Below are 19240 nucleotides of genomic sequence, written 5' to 3' on the forward strand. Positions count from 1 at the left end.
GTGAGTAGAGATGTGGAGAAATTGGAGCCACACATTACACTTCCATATATGGGAATGTAAAATGGTGCAGCCACTTTGGAAAAGAGTTTGGCAGTTTCCCAGAATCTTAAGCATAGAGTTATTATTTGACCCAGCAACTTCGCTACAAGGTATATACCCGAAATAAATAAAAAGGTATGTTCACAAAACTTGTATGTGAATATTCAAAACAGCATTATTCATAATAGCCAATAAGTGGGAAAATAAGCAATGTCCATTGACTGATGAATGGATACAAATAAGTGAATAGCCATACAATGGGACATTATATAACAATAAAAAGAAATGAAATACTGATGCATGCTACGACATGGATGAACATTGAAAACGTGGGCTAAATAAAAGAAGGTAGTTACAAGAGAACATATTACATAATATATGATTTCATTTGATGAAATATTTAGAATTGGCAAACCTAGAAAGACAGAAAATAGGTTTGAGCTTGCCTAAGGGTAGATGGGCTAGGGTGTAGGGAGTGACTGCTAATGGGTTCAGAGCTGCTTTTAGGGGTGATGCAAATATCTTAAATTTGATTGTAGTGATGCAATATATTTGTAAATATACTAAAACTACTCAGTTGTATACTTTAAATGGGTAAGTTTTATGGCATATGACTTATATCTCAGTAAAGTCTGAAAAAAGAAACAGTGAAACAGGAGTGTAATGGAATCACAGAATAGCAGCAATATAAAGGCCTAGAAATTAAAAACAGGCATATCTTTCTTTCGTAAACTGAGATAAACGTGAGATGATTATAAACACTAGGAAAACAAATAGCTGTAGATGAAAGATAATGATCAAAATATGTTGAAATCTAAGATACATTATAAGTTTTAGTAATAGTAAATGTCAGGAAAGATAATTCATTTAACCTTGACACTTGTAACACTTTTATTCAAAGTACTAAAACTAATGAGCTAGGATATTGTTTTCTCTAAGTGGCCAAACATGAGTCTATAATAAATTATATTTATGTAATTATATTATAACTTTGTAAATTATGTCAGTTTCAAGTTTATAGAATTAATTCATAGACAGGCACAGAAGACTTACCTGTAGGTTCAGACTAAAATGTGAATGTATAAAATTGGACACTCTGGGCATTACTTACCTTAGTCTTATGCAGGAGAGAATCAAGAGACCCCCCCCCCCCACCCCGTTGTTTCAAAATAAGGAAACAGGAGAATAATTATATTTTTTTAAATTTAAAAGTAAGCAAAAGAAGAATTGAAACTGATTTTTGAAAATCAACAAAAATTTAAGATGGTTTGAAAGGAAGGAGGGGATATTCATTTGCTACCTAAAGCTTATAAAACAAAAAACAGCGGTAAAATCCATATTATTTATGACTATAAAGTTTGAAATATATAAACAAAAATTTTAAAATACTTGCCTGTGGAAAGTGCAATGGGGTGAGAGGTGAGTAATTGTATTTTTCACTTTTTGTAATTATGTAACATTAGAGGCTTTAAGGATCATGAACATGTTACTACTTTTAGGAAAGTAAAAGTACCAGCAACGATAATAAACTGAAGTCTTCCAAAACAAACTAGGAAATTATGAGGAATTATTTTAAAGCAAACAAACAAAAGCAAAACAAACCTCATCAGAAAACTATGGCTGGAGAGGTTCCCAGTCAGTCTGCCACACTTGGCTTTGAGTTTGAGTTCTGAAAATTTCATTCCCGCAGTAGGAATCTGAATTAGTTGGTTTTCAGGCTGCTGATAAAGACATACCCAAGACTGGGAAGAAAACGAGGTTTAATTGGACTTCCAGTTCCACATGGCTGGGGAGGCCTCGAATTCATGGTGGGAGGGAAAAGACGCTTCTTACATGGCAGCAGCAAGAGAAAATGAGAAAGAAGAAAAGCGGAAACCCCTTATAAACCCATCACATCTCATGAGACTTATTCCCATCACAATCATAGCACAGACAAGACTAGCCCCATGATTCAATTACCTCCCACTGGGCCCCTCCCACAACACGTGGGAATTCTGGCAGATAAAATTCGAGTTGAGATTTGGGGGGGGACACAGTCAAACCATATCAGAACTCTAGGGAAAAGGTACACTCTAGGGTGGCAGAGAGTCTCATTAGAGCATTTTCTTGAGCACAGCCACACAGCAATGAGGGTCCCATGCACTGTCCTCTGCAGAGCAGAGCTTTGGGGAATCCTACAGGCATCTACAGTAAGGAACAGCAGGAAGAAACTAAACTCTGCAGTCCTCCAGTTCACTCTGTATTCAGCCCACAGAGAATTCACCTCTCATTGAGAATCTCCTCTCATCAAGGTTATCAGTCCAGCAGTCGATAGCACCGAACCTTTTTATCAGCCCCACTTGGTAATTATAAAATATTTGCAATTATACAATATGCTAATTCTTAGACGACTACAAACAGCTTAATCAATTGAGTGCATTTTATTATTTCTAGTCTAAACATTATGGACTCACATGAAGTCTCTGAGATCAGTAAATTATTCTAGATTGTTAAACTGCTGCCAAATCAATCAGAAATTTTATTTGAATGTATTAGGCTTGCTACATTATTTAGCCAGCAAAATTGAGAAAAAACAACAGAAACAAAGAGGCATCCTGGAGTCACACTGTGAAGCTTGATCAGTTCCCATGAATTACAAGAGGGAGAGCCATAGAAATTCAGGAGAAACAGGATTCACCTGAAACCTCTATTGTCAAGTTGAAACTAATGTCAAGCTAGGTGCTTGAGGCAAGTGTACTTCTTAAAACCACGATTTCCCCTGCCATGATGTGTCTGTGTGTGTGTGCGTGCGTGCAGGTGTGTGGCAGTTGACTAACATCTATGTTGTATTGTATACGTGTGTATGTGTATACGTGGTGTATGTATCTCCAGCTGTGCTACAGAAAAATAAATATATATATATTTTTTAATGCCCAGAAGGACCAACCACATTTGAACATCCCCAAACAGAGCAAGAGATAAAGTGCTCTGCCAGTATTTATGTCTAAATATATTCAACAAGAACCATATATTCCCAAACATAAGGCAAGGGTTTTATCCACCCCAAAATGTATCCCTCCCATGTAGTCAAATTTTTACAAGTTTTTATACCACTGAGTATTACTTCATTGATTTGATTTTTTAACAACTGAGTACTCTTTGGAGAAAACATGTTACCATAAAACCTCCTCAAATAATGCTAGTTTCGGATGCTGAGGGAGATTGCCTGATTAAACAGGTTTAAAACATTAAAAGAAGATAAGCTTAGTGGAGATTTAGCCATTATACTTGGAAGTATAATCTCAAAGTTTCTAGGGCTAGATATTGTTTTAATAAGACAAACTCCCTTTTTAAAACAATATACTCAGTGGTTATGTTGTTTGGATCATGAACATGTTCTTGTAGCATGAGTGGAAATGTTTCCTAATGTTCAAATGAAGGTGTTTGTAACCTGAGATACAACTTCTAATGTCAGCATCATACCTAGATTCAGAGTATGCTTTATTTTAAAAACTGCACTTTGAAGGGAAGATGACATGCCCTGGAGCAATGCTTCTCAAACTTGAATGTGCATACTCATCTTCTGGGAATCTTGATAAAAACGGAGATCTCGACTGGGGGCTAGGAGTTTTCATGCCAATGCTGCTGGTCTCAAGACCTCAGTGTAAATAGTAGAACACGGTGAGGTGACTCAAAATCATTTAATGAAGATGAAGACATTGATCAATGGTGTCAAACATGCAGGTGAAGAGCTGGGGTAAATATTTGCCCATAAAGTGGAACTAGAAAGAAGCCACGCACACATACATAACCTAATGTGCAAATTTTAAATACGCAAGTGTGATTAACTGCATAAACAATTTTAGAAAACATTTGACCATTCCACCTGTGTTTCGAAAGGTTTACATAAAGTTCCCAAACATATTTTTGTTTGGGATACAGACAGGCTGCTTTCTATTCATGGTCATATGTATGGCATTTCTCCTGATAATTTTTTTGCTCTGTTTAGCAGATTTGAGAGACACAGCCAAATTAGAATTTTTTTTGTAGATCAGTTATTTGAACTGGAAAAACATGGGAATGTGTAGATTTCTTTTGGTCAATGATTAAATAGAGTAACATGCTGAATCGACTCATCTCTGCCACATGATGAAAAAAAGTAGTATATGTTTAAAAAAAATAGCATGCCTAGGCTGGGCACGGTGGCTCACACCTGTAATCCCAGCACTTTGGGAGGCCGAGGACGGCAGATCACCTGAGGTGGGGAGTTCAAGACCAGCCTGACAAACAGGGAGAAACCCCGTCTCTACTAAAAATACAAAATTAGCCGGGCATGGTGGTGCATGCTTGTAATCCCAGCTACTGGGGTGGCTGAGGCAGAAGAATCACTTGAACCCAGGAGGCGGAGGTTGCAGTGAGCCAAGATTGTGCCACTGCACTCCAGCGTGGGCAACAACAGTGAAACTCCGTCTCAAAAATAAATAAATAAATAAATAAAAAATAGCATGCCTATGTAATACAGGGTAGGCCATATTTAAAAAACAATTGTACATAGAAGGAGAAGAGGAGAAAGAAACAATTCCTACTGCTAAACTGTATAACCTTAGAACCAGAACTCAAATAGGAGACAGGCATGTGTCTCAGAAGAAAAAGCTATGATAACAAAGGCATTTTTTAAGGGTGGCAAATAAATATGAAAATAATAGACCAGTTAAAACTAAATAAAAATAAGGTGATGTAAGCATGTTTTTAGTTAAATTCAAAAGTTTTTTTGTTTTAATTATCTCTATTATTTTACAGCTATAGACACAAAGTTAAGCTGCCCTCAGAAATGTCTTTCCCCATTGGGTCTCTGTTTTGTTGTAAGAAGGTGTTTCCAAGGGCAACTTCTTTACGTATTTTCTTAAAAATTTCACAAGGTAGAATAGAATATATTATTGCTTTAGTAATGACCTAAGAACTTAACTCTGCTTCTACATGCAAAAAATAAAATAGATGTGTGAATGTAATTGATTACAACTCTTTTTTTCTCAGTTGTTAGCCAGATTGATTGACCTAGCCATAGAAATAAAAATATTAATGTAGCTTTATAATACTGTATTTTGCTTCAGCAATGAAACCACTACTCTGCTGCAAAAAGGATCAATAGCCTTATAATACTTGTTTTAATACTCACAAAATTATTTATATAAAAATTTTAAGTGTCTAGCTTGTTTAAATTGGAATAGAAGCCAAGAGCTGCCTAAAATTGAATATACCTGTACTGCCTGAAAAAAAAAAAGCAGACTAACAAAAAACCAATTAGACTTGGTGAACACAGGGAATACAGAAATGAATGTTAATGTCATAAATATTGTCTGTCTTTTTAAACATAGTGATAGTGGCCAGGCGCGGTGGCTCACGCCTGTAATCCCAGCAATTTGAGAGGCCGAGGTGGGTGGATCACAAGGTCAGGAGGTTGAGACCGTCTTGGCCAACATGGTGAAACCCCATCCCAACTAAAATACAAAAACAAAAATTAGCCAGGCGTGGTGGTGTGGGTCTGTAGTCCCAGCTACTCAGGAGGCTGAGACAAGAGAATTGCTTGAACCCAGGAGGCGGAGGTTGCAGTGAGCCGAAATGGCGCCACTGCACTCCAGCCCAGTGACAGAGCAAGATTCCGTCTCAAAAAAAAAAAAAAGAAAAGTGATATCACAGTTGGTATCATAAGATATTCTTAATTATAAAAGAAACTACTATTAATATACTAATATCTAAAAAGATATCAACAGATAATTATTAGAAGAAAAAACACAAATAACTAATAAATGTGAAAACATTTATTTTCACTGTTAATGAGGAGTAACATTAAAAACAAAAATGAAATAGTTTTTGTAGTTGTGCCCCTTTATATCCAAATGGTAGAAGTATATTTGGTTTGACTTTTTTAGACTGTTTGACAATCTGTGTGAAGAGTCTTAAGGATGGATGCACCCTTTGGGTTAGTCATGATGCTTCTAGGAATATATTTTAATAAAGTAGTTAGAAATATAAACAAAATTCGTGAGCAAACATATTCAGCACAGATTTTTTTTTTTTTTTTTGAGATGGAGTCTCACTCTGTCTCCCAGGCTGGAGTACAATGATGTGATGGCTCACTGCAACCTCCGCCTGCTGGGTTAAAGCAATTCTTGTGCCTCAGCCTCCTGAGTAGCTGTAGTCCTCCTGACTACAGGCACTGGCCACCACATCTAGCTAATTTTTGTATTTTTGAGACAGGGTTTTGCCATGTTGGCCAGGCTGGTCTCGAACTCCAGATCTCAAGTGATCTTACCCACCTTGGCCTCCCAAAGTGTTGGGATTACAGGCGTGAGCCACCTCGCCTGGCCAGGATTATTTTTTAATAGTGAAAAATTGGGAATAACTCAAATGTTCAACAATAAGTTAAGTTATGGTATGCCACGGCCTGTATGTGTCTTCCCAAAATTTGTATGTTAAAACCCAGGCACCAATATGATAGTATGAGGAGGTGGGGCCTTTGGGAGGTCACTTGATAATGGATGGAATTAATGCCTTCATACAAGAGGCCCGACAAAGCCCTTTTGCCCCTTCTGCCATGTAAGAACACAGCAGGAAGACCACCGTCTATCTATGAACCAGGCCCTCACCAGACCCCAAATGTACTGTTTCCTTGATCTTGGACTTCCCAGACTCTAGAACTGTGAGAAATAAATTTCTATTGTTTATGAGCCATCCAGTCTATAATATCCTTTTATAGAAGCCCAGACAGACAGACATGGTACAACTATAAAATAGGCTATTTTATATTAATTATACTTTTGAAAAATTTTAATGACATAAGACAGTGACACAAAGAAAACTACATATATAAGTTAAATATTGCATTTATGAGCATATATATTCATAATTACACATTTTATATAGAAAAAAAGCTGGATGGAAGCCCATCAATTTCTTTTCCTTTTAATTTTATTCTACTTTGTATTTTGCCAGTTCCCCCTCCAAGCCCATTTAAAGGATATTGTACCTTTAGGGTCAGAAGAAAACGCAATAATAAAATTTATTTTAGGTATAGGTTATATAGATTATGGTTTCCAGAGAAGGTAAAAAAATTTAAGATGCAATCATCATGTGATGGGTCCTAAATTATACCAGTTTGTGCCACACTGTACACTAGTGCACCAACATTTTTCAGTAATAAGGATTTTTAGATGGGCTTCTCTTATAGTAACTTTCAGAATATCATTAGGAAATATTTCATTTGTTCAGTAGCAGATAATGAATTCAGAGATGAAACATTTATATATATACACATTTTTACCTATAGTATTAAAATCACTGATCAATCATCGGGGGAGGCTATAGGAAGAAATTTGTTTTGCATATTTCTTCTCATGTTTTTGCATTCTCATCTCACAGAGCGCTTGTAATGCTGTCCATCAGTCACCATTACCTTCAGGTCTGGCTCTATTGCTGATTGCTTTCAAAAGTCCTGCAGCTGAGAAGAGGCCCTAGAGAAACATTCTAGTCATGTAGGCACCGTAGCTTAAAACCACTTTTAAGAACTTGGCTTCAAATCTAGCTTCCTGGTTTGACTTATAACAAGATGCTTGCAATGGCTTGCAGCAAGATGCCATTGCTCTCATGAAAGATGGCAAAAGAACTATTAATGACACTAATTAAGATGTGTGAATATCATTTAGATACTCCTCCTTGTTGCTTTCCAAGTACAAGCTATGTTACCTTACACATTAATTGGTAATGACACAATCGCATATCTTTCAACTACAAGGTCAGTTTTTAAAGCAGGGCTTTTATTATTAATGTGCTTTAAGTTTCAACACCGTCCACGCAGAGATTCCATTAACAAACTTTACTGTGCTCCTCTTTAACCCCATTACAGCCATATCCCCTCCCACCCATGCTGAATATTATGGTATTGTGGGCTGGAGCATTTCAAATCTTTATCTGGCCTTAAATATAACTGCTAAAGCATTGTATATACACGCATAACCTATTTGTTTAATAATTTTTACCTTTTGCATTATTTATTTATTTATTTTTTGAGACGGAGTCTAGCTCTGTCGCCCAGGCTGGAGTGCAGTGGCAGGATCTCGGCTCACTGCAAGCTCCGCCTCCCGGGTTCACGCCATTCTCTTGCCTCAGCCTCCTGAGTAGCAGGGACTACAGGCGCCAGTCACCATGCCTGGCTAATTTTTCTGTATTTTTAGTAGAGACGAGGTTTCACCGTGTTAGCCAGGATGGTCTCAATCTCCTGACTTCGTGATCCACCCGCCTCGGCCTCCCAAGCCTTTTGCATTTTTAAATGTGCCCATTCCCTGGTCCTTTTTGACCAGTCAAACAAAATCCAAATGTTACTTATTTGAAATCTGCTCTATTCATTTATCCAGCATATCTTCCTAAAGTAAGCTTTATGTCTCTAAAGTAAAAACATAGAAAATAAAAGAATATTAAAGTGTAACTTCTACTAATATAATGCCCCACTTATAGATCTTTAAACTTTTAAACAACATGGAATAGTAAAGCTAGAAGAAAATTTTAGCCCCAATAACTTATTTTACAGAAGACAAAAATGGAAGCTCAGAAAGTCTAAGTCACTTGACCAAGGTTTCAGCACCAGAAAACAAGTCCTCCTGCTCAGTGTGAGGTATCTGCTTGTAAGCAGGCATCCCTCTCTGAGATTGAGCAAGGATTAAGAAAAGCCTGTTAAATCACATGCCCCCTTCCTATTTGATTTTAGTAAACATCTACAAATGCCAGTCAGGTAATAGGAACCTACATTTATGCAGAACTTGGTAGTAGTCAAATGTTCATTTCTCTCATTCATGACTTCATACAATTTTCACAATGACTTATGAAGTATGTGTTATTCTCTAATAGCATATCTAAGAAGAGTTTTTGGTTGTGTGATCACATATGAAAGACTACTTGCTTTAGTATAAAACTCTTGAGTATTTTTTCTCCTCTTCCAGATCTCTGTAACAATTCTGTCATTGTTATCTGACATTTGAAATTGGTGAAGAGAAGTCTCAGGCCTACCTGATGTGCTCCTTTGGAAGTAATGTTTGTTTTCTCCTGTATGAGATGCTTTCAGGACATGTTGTTTGTCTTCACATTTAAATATCATCTTCATATGTCTTTATGCAAATCTTTTTTTTTTTTTTTTTACTTTTACCTAGGTTCATTGGATCTGAAGATATAGGTTGTGATGATTAATACTGAGTGTCAACTTGATTGGATTGAAGGGTGCAAAGTATTTTTCCTGGGTGTGTCTGTGAGGGTGTTGCCAAAGGAGATTAACATTTGAGTGAGTGGACTGGGAGAGGCAGACCCACCCTCAATCTGGGTGGGCACCATCTAATCAGCTGCCAGCAAAGCCAGAATAAAAGCAGGGAGAAGAACGTGGGAAGACAGGACTGGTTTAGTTTTCTGGCCTCCATCTTTCTCCCATGCTAGATGCTTCCTGCCCTTGAACATCGGACACCAAGTACTTCAGCTTTAGGGCTCGGACGGGCTTCCTTGCTCCTCAGCTTGCAGATGGCCTATTGTGGACCTCAACTTGTGACAGTGTGAGTCAATATTCCTTAATCAACTCCCCTTTATATATACATCTATCCTATTAGTTCTTTCCCTCTAGAGAACCCAGACTAATACATAGGTCTTCAATACAAGAAAGTTATCATTGCTTAAAGTTTATCATTGCTTAGTTAATTTTTGTCTTGTCTCTTCTTTGAGAACATTAGTTATATTCAGGTTAGCTTTTTTCTTCTAAATTCCGTATCTTCATCTTTTCTCACTACTTTTTTTTCGGTATTTATCCTTTTCATCTGCATTCCAGGAAAGCTCAATATTATGGTCCATATTAGTGTTTTAATTTTCCACAACATCAGTTCGTTCTTTACTGCTCCCAACACTGATTCAAGTTTTATGATTGCTACTCCACCTTGATTCACCCAACTCCTTTTCCTCTCAACACAGTCTCTTTTTATTCCTGTAGTTCCTGATTCATGGAGTTCATAAATGTTTCTATCATATTGAAGACATAGAGCACTTTACTACATTTTAAGAATTCTTGTGAAGTCATTTCCAAAGATTTTTTTTTCAGGATGATGTACCATTTATTCCACACTGTATCTTTCTCTTGTCTTTATCTCAAATGAGGGAATGCATGTATAGTTCTTGTGTTTGTCAATGGTCAGGGTATCTAGATTTTCCTTGTTCCTCCTACTGATGGTGGAGTTGGGGGTTAATAGAATCCTCTGTGTCTCTGATTGAAACCTAAAGAACACTGATAAGATCAGTGCTTAACCCAATTTTCCTTGTCTAGCTCTGTGTTCCATATTTGCACAGTAAGGATGGGGGTCAAGTGCATATACTATTTGGGAGAGGATATCCTCCTTGAAAAATCATATTTCATGTGATTATAACTAAACTATGCTAACCCTGGCAAAATCAAGGTTAGGTAGAAATACACTAAAATTAGGTCAGAATACATTGAAGACGGTATGGACTATAACATGTTGAAAGGCACTGGGATGATAGTCATTGAGCTAAAAACATGGGAAAATTGAACCACATTTCAGGTTTCTTTCCACCTACTCTTCTTTATTCATTGTAACTAAGCTTCCCTGGATCTAGATACCACTGCCCATCTTTTTAATTTTTCTCTTATATTTAAATGTGCAGTCTAATACATGGCTTCAAAAGGAATTGTTAATTGAGGGGGTTGCAGATAGTATTCAGGTCACCTCAAAATGTAGCATGTGTGCACAGAAGGACAGCCAATTCTCAGGTTAATACTTCAGATTCAGAATGCTGGTTCAAGAAGCAGGCCATGGGGGAGGAAAGAAGCCCCAGTCTGTCTTCTCAGGGGAGTGGGTTTGCTCCTTCAAGCAGCAAAATCTGTGAGTGCTTCTGATTATATTTCTCTATTCCTCTCTATAGATCTTGTTGTTGATGGAATTTTCTTCAAAATTTTGGCATTTCGTGCAACATCAGTCTTGGTGCTCCATTTTCTTGGAGAATTTTCATCCTTTCTTTATCCTCAAAAGTCTTCTGGAAGGAGTAAGAAGAAGCTGCCTCAGAAACTGTGAAACACATGCCATGTTAGTTCTAATTTTAGTCCCAGATCACTCAATTCAGTTGTGCAGATAAATGAATTGTCACAACTATTTACAGAACCAAATTGAGAACAATCCTCTCTTATCCTCACCTTACCATCCCGAATCAAATCTGCCTGGGAACAAATCTGGTATTAGATGTTTCTTCTTTAGTATGAAATCATGTCAATATGTTAACTTTCCACATATATCAATCTAAAGCTTATTTCTAATTAAGCAATAGCTACAAATTAAAGGAATTTAAAGCATCACTGCACAGGCAGCAGAGGTTTTCTTCTAAGCCGAAACCCTGTGGGAATCATAACCCGGATGATATAATAGGCAGCTTGGATTTCCTGCTAGGAAACCCGGCTCTATCATTTTCATGGACTGGGCCACTTTATCCCCATGTCTGCATTTTAAACTCTCTTTTATTCTGATTGTAGGTAACAAAATAAATATGAAACAAATTCATAAACAATATTGGAAAAAGCTGTGCATTTTTCTGAATTTCAACAAAGCACGTGGCCAGATCTCTCAAGTTATTCCAGGGACAGAGTGATCTGGGGTGGGGAGTTAGGTGGATTTCTTTCCAGACATTCAGCCGTAAGTAATTAGCAGTCAGCCTGGCACTGGGCACCAGGGTCCCTGGGATGATGGCAGAGGAAGGCATGATTTTCCAAATTGATGGATCTCATGTCATTGGGAGGAATGAGAAACGAATTGAATGACATTGTCACTGTCATCACATTTTTACAGATGAAATCCAAACAGATCATAGTAAACTGCATGAGCATGGTGGAGAAGGGACACTACAACAACATCATTTGGTCAAGTAGTTAGGGGTTGATGGGTTGAAGTCTCACCATATGTTGACATTGTTATGAGATGGCCAACACAAATGAAAAAATAGGCATGTATAGTGTCTAGGAAAGGAAGATGATAGTCTTCTTTCACTATTCACAGCTCAGATCTCGGCAGGAAGTTAGGGCTTCACTTGGGTGCCATTTAGAATAGTAAGGAATTAGAACATATCTGGGTGAGGGTAATCAGAATGTAAAACCGTAGAAACTGACATGGTGTGGAACAGGGAAAGGTCAATCATACTTGGACAGCCATTTATTAAGGATGTACTGCTCAGACCCATCCTTTGTAGAGAGTTGCGCTAAGTGACCTCCATGATGTCTGTAAACTCTAAAATTCTAACACTTTGGAATTATTGATTTAATAGTTTTTCTTCACTCTCCTATCAAATAGATGGCTTTGAAGAGAAAACATAGCAGTAAAAATGTCCAAATAGTATTTCTATTTGGGAGGCTGAGGCGGGCAGATCACATGAGACCAGGAGTCTGAGACCAGCCTTGCCAACATGGCAAAACCCTGTCTCTACTAAAAATACAAATATTAGCCGGACATGGTGGTGGGTGCCTGTAATCCCAGCTACTCGGGTGGCTGAGGCATGAACATCCTTTGAGGCCAGGAGGCAGAGGTTGCAGTGAGTCGAGATCAGGCCATGCACTCCAGCCTGGGTGACAGAGCAAGACCCTCTCTCTCAGGAAAAAAAAAAAAAAAAGAATATGGAACTCAAATTATTTGCCTCAATAGTTCCAACCTGGAGCTTGAACTTACACCTTCTAACTCCCAATCCGTTTATCTTTTCCATTTAGTGATTCTGGGTTACTAATCTTTTTTAATACTTGGGAGAAGAGAATAACCAGCTTCTACTTCTCCTTAACTATTCTAACTAAAACTGATTTTCAAGGCATCATTTTATACAAAATTTCCTTCTGCCAACAAATAATGTATGATTTGCAGAATAAAGTATTACTTGAAGCTAGCCATTGCTTTCTTCACTCTGAAAAACATAGAGCATAGAACTGGCGGCTCTTCACTTTCCCCTTCTCTTTGTTCTTTAGCACTTCTTTTTTTAACCTGTTGTATTCCAACTAACTGTTTTTAGGCCTCTCATCTCCACTCTGCCATGAATTCTCAAAGAGGAAGCATCAACACTGATTTCTCTTTGTATTTAGGGTCTAGAACAATTTCTGATATATGGGATTACTCAATAAACGCTAAATAAATGATCAAATGTAGTATTTACTTATTTATTTAGCAAATACTTATTCAATATTTGATTCCTCTCCCCCATATGCTAAACATAGAGAATCTAAAAATAATTAAGAAATACCCACTGTTTATCAAGAACACATCGCCCAGTGGGTAAGACAAGTACTTTAGCAAACAAAGTATCCCAAGTATCAAAATGCAAATTGAGTAAGGCATTGTGGGGATTAGAAAATAACCATAAAAATCAGAGGCAGGAAATATGCATTCTACCTGGGAATTAAAGCTCTCTTTAGATTAGTGCTAACCCTGGAATAAGCAGCTAACATTTATTTTATGTTTTATTTATTTATATTTATTTATTTCTATAAATTTATGGGGTACAAGCATAATTTTGTTACTTGCATAGATTGTGTAGCAGCATAGTCAGGGCTTTTAAAGTAATGGCCTCCAGATCCATCTATATTGCGGCAAAAGACAGGATTTCATTATTTTTTTATCACAAACTAACACTATAGCACAAAACTAATAGTTTTGATATCACAGAACTAACATTGTGATTTAAAGGAAACTGACTTTCAGTCTAATCTACGGATTTTTCAACAAATCACCAAGATAATAGAATGGCATGTGTTCTGGGTTGTTCTAATATTACCTAGTGTGGGAGGATCTACTAGAGCCACAGCTCTTAGGATGCTAGAAACCAAGTACAGGATAATTTAGTGAATATGCTCTAGAAAGTGGTTCTAGATGCCCCCTAAGCAAGAGGTTCATTGACTGTAAACTTTAAGTCCTTCATAAAATATCCAAGGTGTGACATTTTGCCAACTTCCAGAGCTTCTGGAAAAATATTCTGCCCAAGAAAAATCTGTATTTCTAGTTTTGAATTAAGAACTCAGTTAATGAAAGGGGAGATGAAGGTACTAAGGGTTTCTTTCTTTCTCTTTCCTTCCTTCCTTCCTTCTTTCCTTCCTTCTCTCTCTCTTTCTTTCTTCCTTCTTTCTTTCCTTCCTTCCTTCCTTCTTGCTTCCTTTCCTTTTTAAATGACACACACTTGGTAACAAGTGAGCTTCATTCCAGAATAACATGTCAAAACCGAGGTGAAATACTATCTATAATAAATGAGGCTTCTCATGGTTATCAGGTAGCACATTTTCTCAGGTAATGAAGTCATTGTGTTTTGCATGGCTTTATTCTTTTAGGCAGAGGAGAAGGGAAGGAGAGGTTGTTGGTATTTTGTGCCTTCCTTTTTTTTTTTTGATGGGTTTCTTTCCATTCTTCTTGTGCCAATTGTAATGTTTTATGATTATTCATGACTTAGACAATGGTGCTTTAGGCAGTCAATGGCAATTATGCTTGTTGAGAAGAACATATAATTCAAATTAGACCAATATAGATTTTCCCCCTTTAATGTTTAGTTACCCAGTTAGATTTAAACTGAGTATACAACATTTAATAAATGATTTTCACTAAAACCTAACTGACATTTAAAAGTAGTGTGGTTTTTTGTTGGTGGTAATACAGGAGAGTAAGATAAAATATTAATTCACCTAAAAGGTATATCTTATCAGTTCAAATTAAATCCCTCACATTTATACATTGTGTGATGTATTTGTATTTGTGGCCTGAAAATGGTAACTTTGTACATTATCCAGTAAGTATGCAAAAATCAGCCGCATTAGGCATCTAAGTAATTTGTCTTAATGAACAATAAATTCATACGTGGTTTAAGTTTGTAAATCTAAGTTTAGCAATATACAGAATGAAATTTTAAATACACATTATTTACTACTCAGAAATTAAAAGCTGAAATAAGTAATAACACAAACATCAGATGAAAAACTGTAGACTTCTATGGACTGAACTGCATCCCCCAGATTCATCTGTTGGAGCCCTAACTCCCAGAGTGACTGTATTTGGAGATAGGACATTTAAGAAGGTAATTAAGATTAAAAGAGATCACATGCATGGGGTCCTAATCCAATGGGACTGGTGTTCTTATAAGAAGAGGACAAGAAATCAGAGCTCCTTCTCCATGTTCAGAGAAGAAAAGCCATAGGAGGACGTAATGAGAAGGCGGCTGTCTACATGCCAAGAAGAGAGCCCTTACCAGAAACAAACCCTAACCATCTGTTGACCTTGGACTTCCAGTTTCCAGAACACAGAGAAAATAAATTTCTGTTGTTTAAGCCACTCAGCCTGTGGTATTCTGTTACAGCAACCTGAGCAGGTGAATACAGTGGAGTTTTTAAACACCTGTATATATCCTATCAGCTAGCCAACACTAGGATCAGCTGAGTTGATCTTTTTACTGAGTTCCAGACTTCACTAAGTCTGGATGAGTGACCAGTGACTTTTCAGAAAACCATCAGGTACATTTTCCGTGTATCTAGGATAGCAATGGTCTACTGAAGCCCAAGGTTTTGCCTAGTGGTGCACATTATGAAAAATTGCCTCTATTTTCACCAACTGTATGTGAAGCATTTAACCAAGAAGTGCCAATAACTGTTGACTGATTTACTTTTAAAATTAGCAGCGATCTTAAAATTATCCAGTTAAACTCTCTGGGAGCAGCATACGACTGTGGAAAGACTGGTTCCAGTGCCAGGCAGGCTTGAGTATGAATCCTGGCTCTATCATGCAGGTGTAAGGGGGCATGAGGCTGGCTGGAGACTTAGCGTCCTTGTGTTTCAGTGTCCTTCTTAATAAAAAGGGAATCATAATAATGACAATAAAGTTGAGCATTAGTAACAATAATATGTTGATCTTAAGAGTCTTATGAGAATTAGTGACAATGATTATAGTACTCAGTATAGTGCCTGGCAACATAGCAATTACCCAAGGAAAGTGGAGGCTGTCATTACTGTGACAATGTTGAAGATGATGCATGAATATCTCTATACCTAAGAAAGCCAGAGGCTAGAGAGTTGCAAATCTATTCAAAGATGACTCCCAAAGGATATTCATATTAAATTTTGGATATAATAATTAAAATCTTTGATAATGTAGAAATAGTTTAGAGGCTGAGAGCCTTGGTTATACCACAACAAATACCTTTCAACACTTTAGACTCCCCTAATTTAAATGTCCAACTGTGTGCTTTTGAATTTGAGGTAGTTGGGCAGTATCTGTTCATTTGTTTCTTTGTTTTTAGCCTCACTATGTATTTTTCTCTCAGACATGTGGCTTAGACCAAGATGTTCAAGGGGATGATAACAGGTTAGATTTTTCAGTTCAGTCAGGTTTGCAGGCAGACTGGATATAGAATGAAGAAAAAAATCACAGTCATGGATAACTTGACACTTTTTGGCCAGAGTAACTGAGATGGGGAAGGTTTGGGGAGAAAGATCTGGGTTTCCATTCTGGACATAGAAAGTTAAAATCATGTTGTGTTTTAAAACTAAAAATAGTGTGGTTCTGCTGCAGCAGGGGGAGAAACACACCCTGGGGAGATGAGCAGGTGGCAGGTCCACAGGTCACAACAAGGAACTCAGGTAGGACCTCATAAGCAAAGGTGAGGAGATGGAGGTTTGTGATATGGTGGAACAATGTGCTTCAGGGATTAATTTATACTAGTGATAGGACAGGAGGCAGAGAAATTCTAGGCAGAAAAGGGCGGGTCCCTGGTGAGGCCCATCCTCAAGCTGAAAAGCTTGAGACTGCAGCCCAAAGTGAGAACTTACATCCCCGTTTTACTGCTCAAATGTTGCCTTTTCCAAAACCAACCATGGGCCTTCTGAGCCCCTGTCCTGTGCCCATAAAAACCCCAGACTCAGCCAGCAGAGAGGAAAAGCAGCTGGACATCGGAGACTATGGCTGGACCTCAGAGGGAAGCAGCTTGACTTCAGAGGGACAGCTTCCTGGCATAACTTCCAAGAAGAATCCATCCAGAGATGGTCAGACTTCAGGGGAAGATTATCTTCCCATCCCATCCTCTTTCCAGCTACCCTTCCCTCTGACAGCCACTTTCATCAGCAATAAGATCCCCCACATTTACCATCCTTCAATTTGTTTGTGCGACCTCATTTTTCCTGTACGCCAGACGAGTTTGGGAGTCACAAGTGCAGATACAAAAGGCTGTCACACTTGCCCTTTGCTTTTGCTGGCAGAAGCCAGCTGCCTCATGTGAAAAGGCAGAGGGTCCTCTGAGTTGTTTACACGTAAGCCATCCGCAGAGCTAAAAGAGAACTGTAACCCTCCTTCTGGGGCTTCAGGGTCTCAGGCACCTCCCCAGATGCTGTCACAGGGCCTGCATGGAATTTGCTCCTGCTGGTGCCCAAAAGTGCTCACCCTGGATCCTGCACACACTCACCTGTGCACTCCCTCCCATGACGGGTGGAGTGCAGTGAGTCCAAGTGAGTGGAGTTCATTTCTGCTGGGGCTGAAGTGGACAGCTGATTCCAGCATTCATGCATTCCAGTTCCCGCTTTGTTCACTTGCATGCTCCCTCCCATGAGGAGTTGAAAACTGCAGGCTGGGTAAACAAGGCACCCCTGCTGTGAGTCCTGTGAAGGGGTTGGGGGAAATACCCTGTTTCACAAGTGTTTTCTGTCCTTTCTCTCTCTCTCTGTTTTTTTTTTTTTTTTTTTGGACAGAGCATCCTGTCACCCAGGCTTTAGTGCAGTGGTGTGATCTCAGCTCACTGCAATGTCTGCCTTCCAGGTTCAAGTGATTCTCCTGCCTCAGACTCTTGAGTAGCTGAGACTACAGGTGTGTGCCAACACAATGGCTAATTTTTGTATTTTTTGTAGAGACAGTATTTCTCCATGTTGCCCAGGCTGGTCTTGAAGTCATGACCTCAAGTTATCCACCCGCCTCGATCTCCCAAAGTGCTGAGATTACAGGCGTGAGCCACAGTGCCTGGCCAACACTTGTATTTTCTTTAAGACCAGATCATTAGCTCCTTGATGGCCTATATATTCTTCTTTGGTTGTTGTTCTTCCTTGTTTTGTTGTTGTTTCATAATCCCTCAGAAAGAGCTATGCTCACTATTCTCACTTAACAATTTCTATGAGAAAATAGATTTGTTGGCATACTTTTTTTTGGGTGGGGGGGCTGGTCAAATCATGTGACTCTTTATATTTTCTCATTTACAGGATATTGCAAATTATCTCAGAGGGATATAGCAGGAATTAAATGGCTCAGTTTTAGAACTTTATCTAATACTGTAAATACATTATTAAATACTAAATGATAATAATTCCACAAAAATATCTGACCTAGTTATACATTGGGAGCCTGTGAAACTCTGACAGAAACCAAAGAGTTATAGAGGTAAGCAATGGGGTAGGGATGAGAATTAACTCGATCAGGACAGACTCAGTTTCCAACCTCCCTTAATCCTGCCATCCAAAGAGGTTTGATGAAGGCTCAGCCCTCTTGGGATAATGGTGAGACTACCTAAGGAATTCTTATATTTTCTTACTCATCTGGGGCAACTCTAATGCATTTTGAAGAAATCAAAGAATAACGCTTATTGTCATGCCCTTGTGGGGATGCATGCTTGGATCTTGGTCATGGATGATATCTCTGTTTCCCATCTGGTAGAAAATTCAAATTTTGGAGCAATTACTGAGAAATTGAGCAGCAGTGTATTTACAAAAAGAAAGAACTTACATTTACAGCATAGAACGTATTTTCACATATGCACATCATAATGAATAATAAACAAACTGGGGTCATTAGCAATGTAGTAGTCCATTGTAAAAATAAGGACAAAGCATGAAGAAAGTTTCAAGAAATAATATAAAAAGTAGAATTACTTAGCTTACAAAATAATAGTGTCCTGGGTTCATCTTTAATTCTTTCCTCTCATGCTGACCTCTGAGCAGTTAGCAAATTCTTTCCTTTCTAATTTGCAAAATCTCTTCCATCTATACAAAATTGAATCATGATATTCTCTTATGAACTAGGGTTTTCCAGAGAAACAGAACCAATAGGTTATCTATCTATCTATCTCTATATCTATATTTATAAAGATATTTAAAAATCGGCTCATGCGATTGTGGGGGCTAGCAAATCCAGCACTTACAGGGCAG

At 38.0% G+C, this 19240-nt stretch overlaps 2 long non-coding RNA genes across 2 annotated transcripts in view; both read right to left on the reverse strand.

Annotated features, from left to right (window-relative positions):
• LOC101928923 (uncharacterized) overlaps positions 1-19240 on the reverse strand; it is a 487547-nt gene that overhangs the window by 83539 nt on the left and 384768 nt on the right. The gene's annotated exons all lie outside the window — the stretch shown is intronic.
• Positions 7812-17774, reverse strand: LOC124901443 (uncharacterized). Its single transcript, XR_007059828.1, has 2 exons — positions 17515-17774; positions 7812-11094 (listed from the first exon to the last, which is right to left on the reverse strand). It is a non-coding gene; the product is annotated as an uncharacterized LOC124901443 (long non-coding RNA).

Source organism: Homo sapiens, chromosome 6 (assembly GCF_000001405.40).
Source record: "Homo sapiens chromosome 6, GRCh38.p14 Primary Assembly".
Taxonomy (NCBI): domain Eukaryota; kingdom Metazoa; phylum Chordata; class Mammalia; order Primates; family Hominidae; genus Homo; species Homo sapiens.